A 19949-nucleotide genomic window follows, 5' to 3' on the forward strand; every position below is an offset into this window, starting at 1 on the left:
ACTTTTTACCAAAAAAAAAAAAAAATTGCTTGTGAAAGAATTCAAGCAACACAAGAAAATCCAAAGAAGAAAGCAAAGATGACATCTTTAATTGAATGGCTACCCTGAGCCAGGTAATTCCTTGTTAGGCTGTCTTGCCTCCTGTAGGATGGTTAGCAACATCCCTGGCCTCAACTCACTAGGATGCCCACTCAACTAGCCCAGTTGTGACAAAGTTATTTCCAAATATTTCCAGATGTCAACAGAGAGGCAAATATCACCCTCAATTGAGAACCACTGATTTAATGAATTCATTTATTCATCAACTTTTTTTTTTTAAATAGAAGGGGTCTTGCTCTGTCACCTAGGCTGAAGTGCAGTGACACAATCGTAGCTCACTGTAACCTCAAAATCCTAGGCTGAAGCCATCCTCTTGCCTCAGCCTCCTGGATTTTGATCCTAAGGGGTAATAGTAACCCAATGAGAATCACACTTGTCAGACTAGCCTCAAAACAGTTTCTAACTCTTTTAAAAAGTGTATCTCCTTTAGAAATACTTTATCACTTTTAAAGATATAAAAGGTTGCACTGCACTCTGGAGAAAATGTCAAGAGCAGCTTCAAAGAAATTCTGACGAGTAATCCACACAGTTGGGGAGGGGAGAAGTTGCATGTATTTTTAATGAAAAAAAAAAAAAACCTCATTTGGATATATATGTCCCATTGCGCTCATTAAAGTATTTATTATATTAGTTTATAATTATAGTTGTATAGTAGTAACACAGTGGCATGCTCTTTTAATAAGCACATTCTCTTTTCATTCAGCAAATGTCTTCCTTTCCAATGATACCATGTTCACAGTTATTCGTGACTGAAATCTTCATGTCATCTTAAACTTATCTTTTTCATTATCCAGTTAGTCAACAAGTCACACTTATTTTTCCTACAAAATATATCTCTTTAATCCATATGTCAGCTTCTCAATTGTCACTGTGAGACTACCTTTGCATTTTTATCACATCATTCGTCCTCTAAAAAAGTTTCAGTGGTACTCTATTTTTTTTTTTCCTCAAGCTGGAGTTCAGTGGTGCAATCTCAGCTCACTGCAACCTCTGCCTCCCAGGTTCAAGTAATTCTCCTGCCTCAGCCTCCCGAGTAGCTGGGATTACAGGTGTGTGTCACCATGCTCGGCTAATTTTTTGTATTTTTAGTAAAGACAGGGTTTCACCATGTTGGTCAGGCTGGTCTCAAACTCCTGACCTCAGGTGATCCACCCGCCTTGGCCTCCCAAAGTGCTGGGATTACAGGTGTGAGCCACAGCGCCTGGCCTCTATTTTCTTGTGTATTACATTATTGTAACAAGTTTCTATTCAGCTTTCCGAGAAGCTCTTTACTCTGATACTACCATACCTAAGTTAGGAGGCACTGTAAACAATAATCCAAGAAGTTTAAGATTTATTTTCAATGCCACTGCTCCCATGAAAACTCAAAGTAACCCTTCCCTACTCTGATTTACTACAGCATTAAGTAATGTCATATAATGTAATCTTTAATTCCTTCACTAGTTGATCTCTTCTCTCCAACTAGTCTGCCTCTCCCATCAAGGACCTTACCTTAGTCATACATGTATGCTTTTTCTTACTGCTCCAGCAGTTAGCAAAACTGGCTCACAGATGTATTAAAGAACTTCTACAGGACTCTTTTCTAGTTCAAAGTCTTTCTTCCACCAAACACTAGCTATTCAACAGACAGGAGAGAACTAAAATACCTTGGTGGCATAGACTTCATATTGCTCTCTGGCTCTTCAAATACATTAGGACTTGCATCAGGAGTTACTGATATATACGGGGCAGGTACAGATGTTGAACGTAGATATCTCATTTCATCCTGGAATAGATTGTCATCTTGATAGCCCACAAAATTTTCATGATGATGCCTGCATTAAATCAAACCCAATAACTTAAAGCATGATGGCAATACAGATCCTCTCCATTTTTAATCTCTTTCATAACAGGAAAAGCAGCACATGTAAATCATAGTTAAAGGCAAAGCATTAAAATAATCGTAGATGTAGGTAGGTGAAAATAAAAGTCTGATAATTTTATTCATCAACATTCCAGGTACCACGAACATTTCAAATCCAAAATTGAACTCAGTTTCTTTCCTTTTGAGAACTTTTCCATCTTCCAGTGTTTTGGTGAATAAGCCCACCAACCATCCAGTTGCTTAAGCTAAAATATTTCCAGTGTTGTAGTAGGCTTAGCCCTCTATCATCATCATCTTTCAAGCCCATGATATTAGGTTTCCTCTCAGAGCCATTCTCTCTTCTCATTCCCTATCATCACTGCCTTGGTTCATGCTTATTATTTCTTGCACAGACCACTGAAATACAAGCAGTTACTTTTTTGGGTAGGAACATACATAAGATCATATTTGAAAAATATTAGATATATGAAATTTTCTGTGGTTCAGGGTGGAAGGGGTGCCCATTCCCCAGACAGCTAAAAAGAAAAAAATCTATAATTATGCTGTGTTAGCATTTTTCACGTTTTACAATTTGATTCTTTCCTTTTCAAAATGAACAAATAGTTGCTAACCTAAGTCCACTGAGTGGTGTGATTCACACTAAAGATCTATTGTATTTTGGCATACTGATGATTTCCACCTCAGTCTCAAATGTACTTAGTCTGATATTTTCATTTTTGTTGCTTATTCATTTTATTGTAATAGTAAGCACAAAATTTTAAAAACCATACAACTCTGCTACACAAAGAGGACAATTTCCAAAATGGAACTGTTGGTCGGCAAGCCATGTCAGTGGGCAATATCTAGATTACCTTCATTTGTCAGCTGATGAAAAAAATTTGGTTTTGGTATATGAAAGGCTCTTTTGGAGTGTCAGTGCATGATGTGTGAAAGTACAGGCTGCACCACTGAGGTCCAATATATGAAAACAGAATACTAACAGGTTTCTATCTCCAGTAATGCACTTTTATCTAGTCTCCACATTAGCTTCCACATTCCACAGTGATTTTTTAATTGCAAACCAGTTCATGTATTTCTCTGTTTAAAATTCTTCCACTGTTTCCTCTGCTCATGGGATAAAATGCAATCTTAACCTGGGCTACAGAGCCCGACATTACTTGGGTGAACCAATCACTTTGAACGGGCTTTCACATATTTCCTCCAGTAGCCAGTCCTTTAACAACCCGTGATTCCTGAAATGTGTAATGAGATTTCATTTGTGTCTTTACTCACCTGGGTTATTCTTCCAAGAGTCGCTTTCTTCCTGTCGCTTGCCTGACAGATTTCTATTTATCCTTTGAGACTCTACTAAAGGCTCAGACCCTCTGGGAAGCCTTTTCTGATTTCCTGGGGAAGATTCAGATACTCTCCATCTTTTATGCTCTAACAGCATCTTACATACATACTTCTATTGTAGCACTCCTCACATGGCATTTCAAATGTTTCACTAACATGTCTGACTTGACATCCGAGTATGAGTACATAGAAGCCAGGATTTTGTTATATTCATACATTCAGGGCCTAGCACAAGGCTGGTAGGTGCCCAGTTGGTATTCATTTAAATGCTAACAGAATGAATAATTTACGAAATAAAAGACTGCTAAGGAAACACACTTTCTTTACACTTCAGCATTTCGCACTAACAGAGTGAAGTCAGCCTACCAAAGAGTAAAAGATAGCTATAGTCTTATTTTCTAAGACATGTTGTGTATTAATACAATGCAAATTGATGAAGCATTTTTATAGTTTTTTAAATACCTATTACCATAAAGTCATTATGTCAGTCAAGGCAACTCAAAAAATAAATGCCTGGAAGTTTGTTTATAGTACACAATAGCTAATAAAGTGTAGGTCAAATACCGAACTACCCTAGATATCAATAAACAATCGCTGTTAATCCAAAGGTGATTAAAAAACAACAGCAAAATTTTATTACCTAGCTAATGTCTGCAGGTAGAGACAAGGCATTTTCACAGGAAGATCCTCAGAAATGCCTTCTTTTACACTGGGCAACTGAGATTGGAATGGCTTTGCAGGATGGTAACACAGAATGCTCGGTTCTGCTGCACTGCTCAGGGACAGCAGGAAGAGTGCATTGGCTTTAATCACCTGGTGAGCTTCCATGGTGGGCAAGGCACGAGGGGTCTTGACTTGCATTGGTTTTCTCCTAGATTGTTTGACCTGGCGAAGAAAAAAATCAAACTAATCTTTTCTGACTTACATTAAAATCCTTAGTTTCTTAAGCTAAGTATTTTGAGTTTCCAATAAAAATTATTAAACACTTGTAAAGCTATTTTAAGATAATAAGATTATAAAAAACAACATTCATTTCATATTCATCCTGGGCTGACCAAGACAATTTTGTATCAAACACAAACTATACTTCCTTTCCTTCTTCAGAAAAATTTAACACCTAACTAGTTAAATCTAAATGTAATTCATTTTTTTAAAAAGTAAATCATTTCAGTGCGTGTATTCAGTGAAATTTTTTAGTTAGGTGCCACTAGAGTGAATAAAGAAAAGAGAGAGTAGATATGGAATAGGAAAACAAAGGAGCCAAAAAAAGAGGAAAAGAGAAAGAAGGTGAAAAGGAAAGCTCTCCATAGAGAGAATAACAGACAATTAATAATAAAGAGTTACACAACAAATATTTGTCAATAAGGCATATGTAGCAGAGGTTATCTAGTGTTATTCCAATATATAGTTAATTTTTAAAATTAAAAGCATTTGACTTAGTACAAATATTAAATTTGTATATGATTTCCATTATAAAAGCTGATCTTTTAATATCAACTATGTGGAATTATCTGATGTAGTAAGATTATAACAAGGTATTTTTATACAGTGTATCCATATCATTAAAAGTATAGCTCCAAATGGAATAAAATACCTTCTCCCTTGCAGCAGCCTGTTTTTCGCGGAGGTATTTTTCTCTACAGCGATCACATACCAGATACCAAGTGCTTCCTCCTATGCCACCATCACCACAGTTACCAGCCCATCCTCCACAAAAATGCCCAATGCTATTGTAACCTTGTCCACCAGCATATCGGCCACAACCTTGAAACAATACCAAAAATAAATATTTAACACTCCAAGTGTCCTTAATAGTTTGATCCTTATTACTCATACATTAATGACAGATTTACCTTCTCAAAGAAAGCAAAATACTGAAGTAGATATCTTATTTTTCAGGCTATTAACTATATCAGAAAAATAGCTTACTTGATCAAAAAGCAATCAATTAAATGATGCCCCAAATATGAGAGATACTTAGTTTCTAATCAGGCATATTAAAAGAGAGATAGAATATAGGTATATTTAGATATACTTAATTATGTCAATAAAATTAGACAATACAAGTATAAAAGTTCTATAACAATGATATATTTTCAGAAATCACATATTCATAAGACATTTGAGGTATAATATGTAGACAAAGAAAAAAATTAACCAAATTTGTATTAGGTGAATTTGGAATATTAGTCAATGTTACAGAAATCATTACATTTACTGAAAATGCAGTCTTCTGATAAAACAATATCACTTCCGTAGGAAAAAGCCTATAGAAATCAATCTAATCTAATTTAATTTGCAATTCTGAACAGGAAAATAGTAAAATCAAAGGAGATGCCCTGTGTGTATGGGCATGCCACTGTTTCTGCTGTGTGAGACAGACACATTAATGGCACACCCTTTGGGTAACACATAATATTTTTTAAAACATGCTACATGAAAGTGAAATAGCACTAAATGACCTGGCCATCATAATATTAGAATTTATCTGTTTTTCACAAAACCCTGTACTGATAATGTACTTTAAAAATGACATTCTAAGATACTATAAATTCCCTATCCTTTGACAAAATTCATAGAACAGCTCAAATAAAGTGATCTGGTTCATTAAAGAAAAAAGCACTTATACGTACATTCAACAGTATCATTTACCTGGGTGAGCTTGTCTCATGTGATAGGTCACCGGGTATGGATGTGACTCCCCACACAGTTCACAGATGGTATCTTTCTCTGGTCCTCCTACTGCCAGCTGGGCCATCTCTCCAAACAAATTACCCCTGGGCCTAACTTCTGCCTTTTCTTTTTTCTTTTTTTCCTTTTTGGACTTCTTATTCTCTTTCTCACACTCTTTCTTTTTAAGAACTGCACAGGAACCAGGACTTGGAAAAATCATATTCTGGGAAGCAGCTTTGATAGTAGCCAAAGAGATGTCTTCCCAAAAAGCCACTAAATGTTGTAAAGTTAAGGGAAGAGGAGACTTAGACTTCATTGTGTTATGCATGGACATTTCAAAAGTGGTCTCGGTTTTCCCATCCTCACATTTTTCATGCAGAGGTGGTTCCTTAAGCATAGACAATACCTTGTTTTTGTTGATGCTACCCATCTTAGATATATCTGGTCCATGGGGTGCAATATTAAACATATTCAGTGCAGATGATATTTCTAATGAATGTCTATTTTTTAACTTGGTTTCTTTTTCCTCTGTAGGTTGTTGGCTATTTAAACTACTCCTTATAGGAGCATGTTCTTTGGAAAGTTCAGGATGAAACTTTAGGAAAGAAGAACAAGCCATTGCATCATGTACTATGCCTTCATGCCAGAGGAAGGAAGCAAACACAGCTCTGGCACATTCGGCCACAGAAGGAGACATGGCTTGCTTGGCTGGCTCTAAAGGCTTGGATCCATCTCCTTTGAAAAGAAAACTCGATTTTTCTTTTTTGGGCCTGGTGTGTCTATTAGCACATTTTCGACTTATTTTGGGAGATGCTCTCATTTCCTGTTCATCTTTCAGTGGTGCTTTTCCAATGCTAAAATGAACTTTATTTGAACCTTCATCCACACTCTTAAATTCACTGCTGTCATCGCAGGTGCTGTCTGTTAGACTATTTGTTTTTAAAGTACTTGAGGTGCAGACTTCGACCACCTCACTGTGGAGGTTTTCCTGTACCACATGGGGAGAGGGAGCTCTATTTTCAGATCCAGGGGAATCTGTAGAATCCTTTGGTACTGATTTTGGTTTTGGTGACGTTGACCGTCCTCTCAAAGGTTCTGTGAGGGGCATTTTCTTCTTGCGGAGGGTATCTGGATCAAGTGTGTAAGAGTCTGATTTAGAACGTTCCCGAGGAGGATCAAGCTTTGTCTTAACAGGAGCAGTACTTTTTTGAGGTAGATTTTTATCATGTGGTGAGGAGGAGCGTGGAGAACTAGCACCCGATGGGCTAGACCTATTGGCTGGGAGAGTCTTTGGCTTAGGAGATGACAACCGAGAACCTGGTCCTGGGGATTCAGCTCTGGAGCTAGAAGGCATCCTCCCATCAGATTTCAATGTCTGCAAGGTGTTATGGTTGGGGGATAATGACCTACTGTGGGAATCTGACCTCAACTTTGCAGCATCAGATTTTAAGATGAGGGATTCACTAGCAGATAAACTTTCTGTGCCCCTTGGCTTCTTCTGATCAGCAGTAGTCCGGCTCATACGTCCATCAGGTTTAAGCGATCTGCTGTGTTTAGAGGACAGCTCTGATTTTCCTGATGTAGAGGCTGGTTTAGAAGATGTTGAGATGTTTCCTCGATCACCTGTATGGTCCATTTTACAGTGAAACTTATTAATAAAATTATAACTTACTGATAATTTAGCCACTAAACACTGAAATAAAAAAACATAGCTACAAAATTTATATTGTTTGTCATACATACTAAAATACTTGAAGAATAAAGGAAAGAAGGGGGAAATATTTCTAATAAAATTTCTACACATCATTACACAACATTACCACCAAAAACTATTTTCATGGACGCAAAACAACAGGTTGAACAAATCCAGTGTGAACTATCAGTGATATCTCAACCTCTGCCCTAGTGCAATAACTAGTTAGAATTTAAATTCAGTGAGGGACTAGAAAGAGACAGAAATTAATCTTTTGGGGAATAAGAAATTATTTAATGTGAAAACTTGTATTTTAAATGTAGAGTAGAGCTAAATTTCCAGCAGAGTGATACCTCGCATCCTTAGGGCAACGGTATGGGTTTTGTTGAATTAGAGAACTGAATTTATGCATAGACACAATTATAATTTTTAAGTGTATGCATACAATTAGGCTAACAAAGAGTTGCTTAAGAGGCACTCTGTTTTATGATCAGATTAGACTAGTTTACAATGAGCACATGAATGCCCTGAAGCTGTTATTTAATTATTTATAAACAGGTTACACTCCAAAAGTTCAGGAAGCTTAGCTGCTTAGAACTCAGAGCCTGTGTTCCCTTGGAAACCACAGAAACGGTGGATCCTCAGAATGAGTGGTAAAAGTCTGAACTGTGGACCCTCAAAACAAGGAGTCAGGAGAATGACAGAAAAACAGGATGAAAAGAAGAATCACCTCCCTTTTCTAAGGCAAAGCATTAGATGTTTCTGCATGGACATTAATTGTTTTTAGCACCCTGCCTTCATTCAGTGTCTCTCCTTCATTCTATTTTATGCTTTTCTTTGAGGCATTAGAGCCAGGCTGTCTGTGACCCAAGTAAATGGTACAAACTTCAACATCACCTTTCCTCCTTAAAATAAAAACTTCTACTCTTAGTGCAAGTGATACCAGTTAGTTGTTAGGAGAAAAGCAATCTGACTGAAGGGTTTCAAGTGGTATAAAAAACTGAAAATCCATAAACCTATCTGGAAGTATTTATATTTTTTCAAAGACAGTTCCTAGGAAATTAAGGTAGATTTGTTAACTGGCTATAACTGCATGTTATTATTTTTTAAAAGAAAAAAGGATGTGAACAAATTCAGATGATGTAGGAAAATGTTTTTTATGCTTCCGTGCATGTGTTAAGTGTGTATAGTCACGCTCTATTTCTCTATGGCTCAGGACAGTAGTGCTGGAGAATCTGCCCCAGTCTTTGTCAAGGGCAGGTATTTTTGTCTGTTACTCTTCACTGATGTAATACCAAGAATGAATCCAGGAATACAGTAGGTATTCAATAAATATGTGTTGAATGAGTAATATATTCCAATTTTCTTGATTTTTTTCTTCTGCTACTCCCAAGTATTCAGCTTCTCCAGAAGTCTACTTTTTACAATTAAGGCTCCCAAGGCCACAGGACAGAGGTGACATTAGTTATTGATGTGCAAGGGTTAGATGCTTGCAAACTGAGTAATTACATGGTGAAATAATAGAGTATGGCAAGTACTTTATACAGGGCACACTGATGAACTAAATGTTTAATTGCAACATGCCAATATTTAAGATAATTTTTCCTGTTCTTTGGATGAATAAAAGTAACTAAAACATAATGCTTTTTAGTTTCTTGCAAAGCTTCATTATTCAATCATTAACCTCCTTTATCATATTATGTGCTCTGTTTTATAAATACAGTATTAACAGATGGGGCTAAGTTTTGAAAAAAGGGTTAAAAAAATCCCAATTTAGAATTCTAACTATCAATGCTGTCTTGGGAGAGCACAGATAAACAGATGTGATCTATGAATAAGTACCCTTAAACTGTTCAAAAGTAGTTCAAAAAATTGCTACCCATCTAATCTTACTGACCTAGTAACAGCATATGGCAAATTTGGTAAACAAATTATATTTGGTAGATTAAATCAGTAGTCATGGCCATTAATTTTGAGTATGTGATGTTTGGAATACTTGTTTTTTGTTATTAATCTGACAGCTGGAGACATGTTTATCACCTTTATCATCACATTTATTTCAGAAACTGAACCACACATAATGGGAATCTAGACAAACAATTAGTAAGTCTTTTATATTTGGTATCCCTTTCTCCAAAAAATCCATCTGTAAACTGAAAGAGGTTTTCTCTCTAATTTATAAAAAAGGACAACTTGTGTAGGATTTCTAACAAATAGGAAGGGTTCGTGACAAAGATTACCTACTCCCTGTGTCAGATGTGTCTTAGTGGTTGACCTGCACAACAGCTGCATGCAAAGGAATGGTGAATACCTGCTGATGCTACCTCTATTCTAGGAATGCATATGAACTTACAATGGTAGGTTATTTACTCATCATGAAAACAACCTCTGTGGTTGCCTGAAAAATGGAATCTGCCAAATACCAGGAACACCACTTGTCATATGTGAGCAAAAAAGTTTATTACATAGTGTTAGAAAGAATAGGCATTTGTATATCTTATTATATCTCTAATAGTGGTGAATATTTTCTTAAGATCTGTAAGTGGTGACAGCTAAATACCTGTTGAAGTTTAGGCATACAAATAATGGCAGAAATATTTCTTTTTCAGATGTATTTCTCAAATGATAACTAAATCTTTTTGAAAAATTTATTTTTCCAAAACGTATTTTATATATTAAAAAAAACTATGCTTGTTAAGTGGGGTAAGCCCCTGTGCTAATTTATGTTTATCTGCTTCATTTGTGTTTCAAATGTTTTGCAGCATGTTATTAAATATTACTAAAAATTGTATGTTGTGGCTGCTCAAAATACCAACAAATATAAACAGTTTGCTAAAAATCTTCAGACTATACGTAATACTTTCACATTCATCTCCTAATTTATTTAATGACTGTACTTTTACATTTAAATGATAATATGCAAACATTTTTCTAACTTTAAAGGAAACCTGAAGAAATAATAATGACAGGATAGAAACTTAGGGCAAGCAAGTTAAATGTTACTAAACATGTTAAATGGTAAGCATTCATTCACTAAATGACCCATACATTTTTTCATGCCCAAATCTTAAATTATCAGGATCATACTATATCATAATACTATATGCATATATCACATGGCATGATATATAGCATATATCAGGTTACATGATACTATATGCTATTACACACAATACTATATACTATATAGCACAGGTTGTACAATACTATTTAGTATATTTTTATATTTCCTATTTATATGTTTATACTGTCAATTGTATAATGAGAAACATATAGCTGTTTTATCTATTTCTAAGAAAAAAAGAAAATCAGTAATTAGTTGAAAAACTTATACAATATGTTAGGCATTGCTGTAAAAGTTCTTTTTGATAAAATTTTATTTAAATACAAGATTTTAAAAGATTTACAAGATTTAAATTTAATTAAATAATACTTTAAGACAAAATATTTAAGTAGGCATCTGTAGTGTTTCAAAAAACCAAAAACATATTTTTAAATTGTCTGAAATTTTGTCAATTGTCAATAGTTTAAACATTTCTAAGTTTAAAATATTAAAACTTAGTCACTAGGAAAACAATATTAGAAAAATTTATGCCAGATAGGACAGGTAGGTTTACATATAAATATAAATAGACACATGAGTCCTAATAACTAATTTAAACTTAAAAACTTTAAGTTCATTATCAGTGTTTCTCATAAAAGACTAAAATAGTAAAATGATTTTTATATTATATAACAATAAGTTTAAGACTAAAAAATGTGCTTTATGCCTTGCACATATATCATCTTTTTCTGATAAAAATGATTTCAAAAATTCCCCCAATTAGGTAATTCTTTCCTTATACCTATTTTAATTTTAATGATCTCATAAAGTTTTAAAATTAAGTAAGAGTAATGTTTAACCTATAGATGTAATAAACATGCATAGCTACTGGGATAATCTATATTATAATACTGAATAGGAGCATCATAAATTACTCAAACATATATAAATGTAAATAAAATGATAAACTTTAATTAAAAAAATGGAATGGCATGAACATGACTGAGACGAACGGAAACATCTTTAATGACACTCCTTATGTTCATTAAGAATGGCCCATCCATGAATGCATGTATACCCACCCTTCAGTTTGTGAGACAGAGATGAGAGAGCAGAGGCAGGCCCAGCTACACCATAATTTTTGTAAATGCGCTCACGAGAAGCAAGGTTGCGAGATGGAGATTCTACAGTGGAAAACATTGGCAAAGAAGCAGCACAGATTCAATGGAAAAAAAATTTAGCAGAGAACACAAGCAAAAACAAAGCATTTCAAATGGTATGCAAGTATAAACTGTTATTTTAAATAGTTTATATTCTGCTATATTTTTGAACAAGTTTACATTTCTCTAAAACTGAAAACAAAGGTCGAATTAATTAATTTAGATTAATATGTGTTAAGGTCCAAATTTGTTAACTTAAAACTTAGTAAGGCTTATATCTCTGATAAATCAAAATTGAGCATTTCATTTTAGACTTACATTTCTTTGGCTCAGTTTTCTTTAATTTGGTGTTCATTTAAATAAAGATTTACAAGTTTTTTTTTAATAGTGGAAGATAAAGAAATGTTACTTATATTACTTATATTACTCATGGCTTAACCTATTGTCACTTGGTTTCCTGAATGAACCGATTACTATAATTTTCCAGTATGTATCTCAGAATGGACTCGGGGTGACACTGTGTTTGGCTACTTTTCTGGGTCCATCTTCAGTGAAAACGTTAGTACTAACCCCAGTATTTAGTGTTTGTTTTGTAGATCCTACTTCTGATATCAAATCTCATTTACACAACGTGTCACAACACAAACAAAGCAAAGAAAATTTATAAGTTATTGAAAAAATGTTAGGAACGTCAATGATTTACTATGCAGGAAAATGAAGCACTTAATTTATCTTTTTTTGAAGAATTAACAGAACCTTTAAATTGCAGTCTTTTAAAAGCAGTAAGCTAAAAAACATCTCTATCTGAATTTAAAAAAACTCACTGTATTTAAAGTTTTTAACTCATAGCAATTAAAATTAATCGGTTGTGCTGAAATAAATTCAGGTAGTAAGGAGATAGTTGTCTTAGTATTATTGAAATAAACTAGACATAACACACACTTTTCTTAAAAAAAGTGCTGTTTTCGGCTGATTCATTATTATGATCAAGATTAATGATGAATGACCCATAAATTAAGAAATCATTCAATGTAAAGTATGAGTATATATTACGTGTTAGATACTGTTCTATGCATTGCAGACACAGTGGTGAACAGGAACAAAGTCCCTATTCTCACAGAGTTTATATTTAGGAGAAAGGAGAGAGGGAATGAACAAATAAGTATACATCACATCAGGTGCTGAGAAACTTGGGAGTCATATGCCTACAGATGTGTCATTCTCCATGACTGCAGAATACCACTTTGGGAGTGACGCCTAGAAGAGGCCAAAGCCCTAGGACATTTCTAGATGACCAAATAGATGAGGATGTAGAAAGGAGACTAGAATTCAGCAGCCAGTAAGGCAGGAAATATCCGGCAGGCAAATGAATGTGTTTCTAGGAAGAAAGACCAACTCTGTCAAATACTGCTGACAGATTAAGTAAAACTGACACCTTAGAACCGACAACTGAATTTGGCAACACAAAAGTCACAGACTGACTACAGCAGTTTCCGAGGATAGGGACTAAAGCTGGAATGCAGTGGGCTCAAGAGACAATGGGAGGAGTAGATAGCAACATACCATGGCATAAAGCCATCTTAATCTAAGTTTTAAAAAGTTAAATTTTTAATATTTTTGTACATCCTTCATTTTGAACAAATCTATAAACCTCAAAAGATGTCAGGTGCTGCAAAAGGAGCTCTTATGCTATTTAAGTGTCATATAATAAGGAGTTTGCAGCTATTGTTAAAATATCAGTTAGGAGGGTGATACAATTCTTCAAGACACGAACTAGAACGGTGGCAGCCTCTGAATGGAAGAGTTAATTCAGGGGGAATCCAACCTGCCAATATAGGAAGGAATACAATCTCCTGGCCTGGCTGCTAAAAATCTGTGAAGACTCCACATAGCAGGAAGACACAGGAATAGGAAATCAGAAGAATACCATCTTAATTGGAAGCACACATAAAACAGAAATGTGAAAAACTATGAGGAAACTTATAAGATGTTAGAGGTTTAAGGACAAACTCCTGGAAAAAAGTTTGAAGGCAAAATGGCCTTCAAGTCTTTTCAATATATTACAAAGGCTAGAGAGACTTGATTCCTAGGTATGATTCAGAGTGAAAAAAAGAAATATTTTTAAAAACAAAAGTCTAAAAAAGGTTAAGTGACTAAAGAAATTAAGCTGTTGCTGAAAACAACACATGTTCTACACATTAAATTTTTACAAAATCTGCTCAAGTTTAAACATACTTTCATAAAGTTATAGTTAATTTTTATAAAGATTTATACTTTTTAATTTAAAAAAGGGAAGCAATCTATGAGATACATTGATATCTATACACAAAAGAAAAAAAGTTGATAGATGTTTTAAAAATCAATTGACAGAAATAATAATGCTTTTACAAAATCCTGTTAATACAGATAAGACAACCAGTTATTATATTCCTCTCCACAAAATTTTGATTCTTTTTTGGGTATCACTAAGTTTAAGAGAATAATATTAAAAACAATTTTAAAGAATCAGGATTTTTCTCCAGTGCTCATTTGAAGTTAATATTGTTTGCTTACTATAGTTTGCCCTCATAAACAACATGGTTCTTTATGGGTCATTTTGTTTTCTTTGTTTTGGATCCCAAGTATTAAATTCCCTGAGTCATATCATTTCCTAGTCACAGAAACTTTGAGTTCATTTTAAGTTGTACTTTTTAAGTCTTCTCTAAGTACTGATGATAATAATAAAACCGTGTAACTTTTCTTTCCAATAAGGAACGCATTCTCATTTCAGTTTAACAAAGACAAATGGTGGTTTTGCTGTATCAGGACCCTGACCTTATCTCTGGAACCACAAACTAGAAGAATCAAGGCACCTGTCAACACCTGGTGGCAGTACACAAATCTGGAGGTTTTGGGATTTTAAAAGTAGCATATATTATTTTTGAGTGTTGAGTCAACAACTAAGCAATGATTGGAAATGTTAAATTTCATGAGTAAAAATTAGTAATACATTATTTTTTAAAAGGATAATTTTTAGCATTAAATTCAGTTTGGTGTTCAATTTGTTGATTTCTTACTATGTTCTATAATCAAGCTGTGACATTCAATAACAATTTGCTAAATTATTGGCAGGCAATGTTCAAAGAATTGTAAACAGGCTATTCAGAAGGACAATATACTGGAAATACATTATATTCAGGAGGCTAGGCGTCTAATCACAATGCATATATCACTGTCACCAATACTCAGAGCAGGTGAGATAATACAGATAAAAAAAATTTTTTTCAAAGACATTCCACTGGGATGCTACAAATGAAGACAGCAAAAAGAATCTTTGGCATGTAATTGTGCTTCTCATGTTGTTTAGTTCTCAATCTTGAGGAGGTAGTGGAGCCGTCAGAAATTTTATAGTCTTAGTAAAACTACTAGATACAATCTTTTTCTTCTCTTTAAGTTCCTTTTTTTTCTTTCCAATTTTTTTCTTTCCAACTTTTATTTTAGGTTCAAGGGGGACATGTGTAGGTTTGTTACATGGGTAAACTGTGTGTCATGGGGGTTTGGTGTAAACATAATTTTGTCACCCAGGTAATCAAGCATTACCTGACAGTTCTTCAATCTTCATCCTCCTCCCACCTTAGATGCAATCTTAACTAAGATATTGGCAAGAGCTTGAGGAGGTTTTATAAATAAGTCTTGTGACAATGGTCAAATAGCACTGTATTCTGTTCATGCTATACATACCTACGTTTATGTATTTATATATATTTCTTTAGATATAAGAAAATCTAATTCTATAGATCTGTCACAAACAATAAGATTTTGCCACATTTATGGTAGAATGATGGGAACAGTGTTGCTGACTTTCCTCAGCTTAAGTCCCAGTCATTGTGCATTTCTATTTTTCTCTGAATAGAACTTCAGATATTTTTGACAGCAATAGGCTCCTACAAGAAACAGTAAATAGGTCTAACTTTATAGTTGAGGATATTTGAGAAATTAATTTTTAAATTATTTATTTAAAACATATTTAGAAACTAGTTTATTGATTCTTATAGACAATATATAAATTATGCCTTCAACTTGGCCAAAAGATGTGATTAATCAAACAATATGCAGATTTAAAAACAGGCATAATTAAGTGTGATTTTACTTCTATTAATGCTTCATAGGATTTTTCAGAAAGTGACAGGACTAGGCACAGTGGCTCAAGTCCGTTATCCTAGCACTTTGGTAGGCCAAGGCAATCAAATTGCTTGAGCCCAGGAGTTTGAGACCAGCTTAGGCAACATGGTGAAACCCCATTTCCACAAAAAAATACAAAAATTAGGCAGGTGTGGGGACACTCGCCTCCAGTCCTCACTACTCAGGAGGCAGAGGTGGGAGGATCACTAGAGCCTGGGAGAGGGAGGTTGCAGTGAGCCTAGATTGCACCACTGTACTCCAGTGTGGGCGACAGAGTGAAATTGTCTCAAAAAAATAAATAAATACATAAAATTAAAAAAATAAAATAAAGTAACAGTGATGATTTGTATATACTCTTAGCTATGGCAGCCATTCTTGACTGACAGCTTTAGATGCAGTATCACTGCATAATCAATACATCTAATATTCTTCTTTGTAGTAAACTTAGGAGGAATATGGAATTATGTGAATGGTAAAGCAGCTTAGGACGTGGAACAGAAACTAAGATTTATTTACATAAATGTTGGTATACTAAAAGAATTAGACTAAAGATTTGTTTATATAACTGTATTTATGTAAGACTTATTTACATAAATGTTAGTATACTAAAAGAATCATGCTAATAGAATGAAAGAACAACATTTTAAACTTAAGGATAAAATAGAAACAAGCTTTTTACTAGACTATGACATTAATCCACATGATCTGAATGTGGAAAGAAGATGGGACACATAAAGTGGATTCCCCCCAAAATATACTGTTTCTCTAAATGACATCTACACATAATTGAACTTGAAGAAAACATACTCATAGCATATTATTGAATATATTCCAAATCTCTAGTAAATATGGTTAAGGAAAATAACACTTAGGAAAAGCGTATCATTTCAGGGTTTGTGATGGCTGAGACAAAAATTCTGAGCATAATTTGATGGGTATATATCTTAGGCCTTAGAAAGAATAACTTCAAAATATAAGAGACAGGTATTGCTTCCCGAGCATTAACTTGAGACACAAGAAGGTTGGATATGCTTTTAAAAGTAAAAATCTTACTCCCACAAGTTGCTTATTAGTTGCAAGGGAAAAATATTAATTATACATCAGAGAAATCAGACATTTTGATAAAGTGATTAGCATTAACCATAACCCTTTCCTGCCTCCAGAAGTGACATCCTGAGAAAGAGACAACGCTTACGCAGCACAAAGACAGCTAAAACCTAAACCAAAAACAGAAGTGCTTTTAGGATAAGATACTTTATTTTTTTTTTTTTTTTGAGATGGAGTCTTGCTCTGTTGCCCAGGCTAAAGTGCAGAGGCACGATCTCAGCTCACTGCAAGCTCTGCCTCCCAGGTTTACACCATTCTCCCGCCTCAGCTTCCTGAGTAGCTGGGACTACAGGTGCCTGCCACCACACCCAGCTAATTTTTTGTATTTTTAGTAGAGACGGGGTTTCACTGTGTTAGCCAGGATGGTCGACCTCGTGATTCACCCGCCTCATCCTCCCAAAGTGCTGGGATTACAGGCATGAGCCACTGTGCCCAGCCAGGATAAGATACTTTTAAAGTACTATTTGGAGAAAGAAGGAGAAAGCAGGTACCAGCAACTCACTGCCTCAAAATGGGAATACGTGTTAATTAGGGAAAGTAGGGAAACTGTTCCATTGTTTCCTTTATTCTTATGTGGCAGGTAGAGGACGGTTTCCTTAGTTCTCTAACACAATGGTCCCCTAACTTTCTGGGACCAGGGACTGGTTTCTTGGGAGACAATTTTTCCATATGATGGGGGGTTGGGGAAATAGTCTCAAGATGGAACTGCTCCACCTCAGATCATCAGGCATTAGATTCTCATGAGGAGCTCTCAACCTAGATCCCTTGCATGCACAGTTCATACTAGGGTTTGCACTCTTATGAGAATCTAATGCCGCAGCTGATCTGACAGGAAGTAGAGCTGAGACAGTAATGCTCTCCTCCTGCTGTACAGCTGGGTTCCTAACAGGCCTTGGACCAGTATTGGTCTGTGGCCTGGGGGTTGGACATCCCTGCTCTAACAAACACTGAGAAATACAGACAATCAGAACAGCCTTGTGATATTGTTAATTACCGGCCTGGCAAAAGTTCATCAGGGATGTGGTTGAGGGATTTAAACTATAAAATAGCAAGGCTGGACTAGATAACCTCTTGTCTTTCTCACTTCTTGCAGTCTATGTAAGATAACTGAGATGCAGTTGGAAAAAACCACTGGAATGAGTTAGCAGACTTGTTGCGGAAAGTCAGAGATCCTGAATGGAGGGACTGGCTGGAACCGTGGCAGAGGAACATAAATTGTGAAGATTTCATGGACATTTATCAGTTCCCCAAATTAATACTTTTATAATTTCTTACACCTGTTTTTACTGCAATCTCTGAACATAAATTGTGAAGATTTCATGGACATTTATCAGTTCCCAAATAATACTCTTACAGTTTCTTATGCCTGTCTTTACTTTAATCTCTTAATCCTGTTATCTTTGTAAGCTGAGAATGTACGTCACCTCAGGACCATTATTGTACAAATTGATTGTAAAACATGTGTGTTTGAACAACATGAAATCAGTGCACCTTGAAAATGAACAGAACAACAGCGATTTTCAAGGAACAAGGGAAGACAACCATAAGGTCTGACTGCCTGCGGGGTTAGGCAGAATAGAGCCACATTTTTCTTCTTACAGAGAGCCTATAAACAGATGTGCAAGTAGGAGAGATATCACTAAATTCTTCTCCTAGCAAGGAATATTAAATATTAAGACCCTAAGAAAAGAATTGCATTCCTGGGGGGAGGTCTATAAACGGCTGCTCTGGGAGTGTCTGTCTTATTCGGTTGAGATAAGGACTGAAATACGCCCTGGTCTCCTGCAGTACCCTCAGGCTCAGAAGGCGGGGAAAAAACCCCACCCTGGTGAAATTGAGGTCAGATCGGTTCTCTGCTCTTGAACCCTGTTTTCTGTTAAGATGTTTATCAAGACAATACGTGCACAGCTGAACATAGACCCTCATCAGTAATTTTAATTTTGCCCTCTGCCTTGTGATCTTTGCTTTGCCCTTTGCCTTGTGATCTTTTTGCCCTTTAAGGCATGTGATCTTTGTGACCTACTCCCTGTTCTTGCATCCCCTCCCTTTTTGATAAAAACCTGCTTAATAAAAACCTGCTGGTTTTGTGGCTCAGAGGACATCACGGTCCTACCAATATGTGATGTCACCGCCAGAGGCCCAGCTGTAAAATTCCTCTTTGTACTCTTTCTCTTTTTTTCTCAGACTGGCCAATGCTTAGGGAAAATAGAAAGAACCTACGTTGAAATATTGGGGGCGGGTTCCCCCAATACAGACTCTCATGTTCAAGTCCTAGATTTGCCAGCTATGACTTTGGGCAAGTCAGCAAGAATTCTCTCATCTCAAAATGAGAGCTGGATAACTTCTTAGGCCCCTAGAACACTTGAAATTATGCCATCATAAGACATAACGGCTGCTGCTGATGCACACTTCTTAAATAAACCAAAGGAGGAAAGACAATCTGATGATAAGGATGAGAAGTCTGATTACAAAAAATGAACGTTTTGTTCAGCTTAAGTAATGAGATATACTACAGGTACAGAAGTTTGAGAGAATAACAAAGTGGGAGATATAGCAGACCTAATCCTTCCTAAATTGAGTGCAAAATCATGAGAATGCTTTAATAATATTTTTTAATAAAATGTAATATATGAATAATTTTCTATTTTCAACTTGTCAGTCAACAATGCCATCTTTAATTATGAGAATGCTAAATATATTTCTCAATTTCAAGTTATATTATAGCCAACTGGAGCTAAGTCATCCAACCGAACTCATTTTTCCTTAAAAGGTGGTTTTGTGTTTTATTCTTGGTACTAGATAAGATATTACCTT

At 35.3% G+C, this 19949-nt stretch overlaps 1 protein-coding gene across 1 annotated transcript in view; it reads right to left on the reverse strand.

The window, feature by feature from the left end:
- Nucleotides 1-19949, reverse strand: part of MYCBP2 (MYC binding protein 2) — a 282438-nt gene that overhangs the window by 46763 nt on the left and 215726 nt on the right. The window contains exons 56-59 of the mRNA NM_015057.5: nucleotides 5951-7594; nucleotides 4893-5062; nucleotides 3939-4183; nucleotides 1746-1913 (exon numbers count right to left, since the gene is read on the reverse strand). Coding sequence (NP_055872.4) covers nucleotides 1746-1913; nucleotides 3939-4183; nucleotides 4893-5062; nucleotides 5951-7594 — 2227 coding nt within the window. The remainder of the gene's footprint in view (nucleotides 1-1745; nucleotides 1914-3938; nucleotides 4184-4892; nucleotides 5063-5950; nucleotides 7595-19949) is intronic.

Source organism: Homo sapiens, chromosome 13, assembly GCF_000001405.40.
Source record: "Homo sapiens chromosome 13, GRCh38.p14 Primary Assembly".
In the NCBI taxonomy this organism is placed as follows: Eukaryota; Metazoa; Chordata; class Mammalia; order Primates; family Hominidae; genus Homo; species Homo sapiens.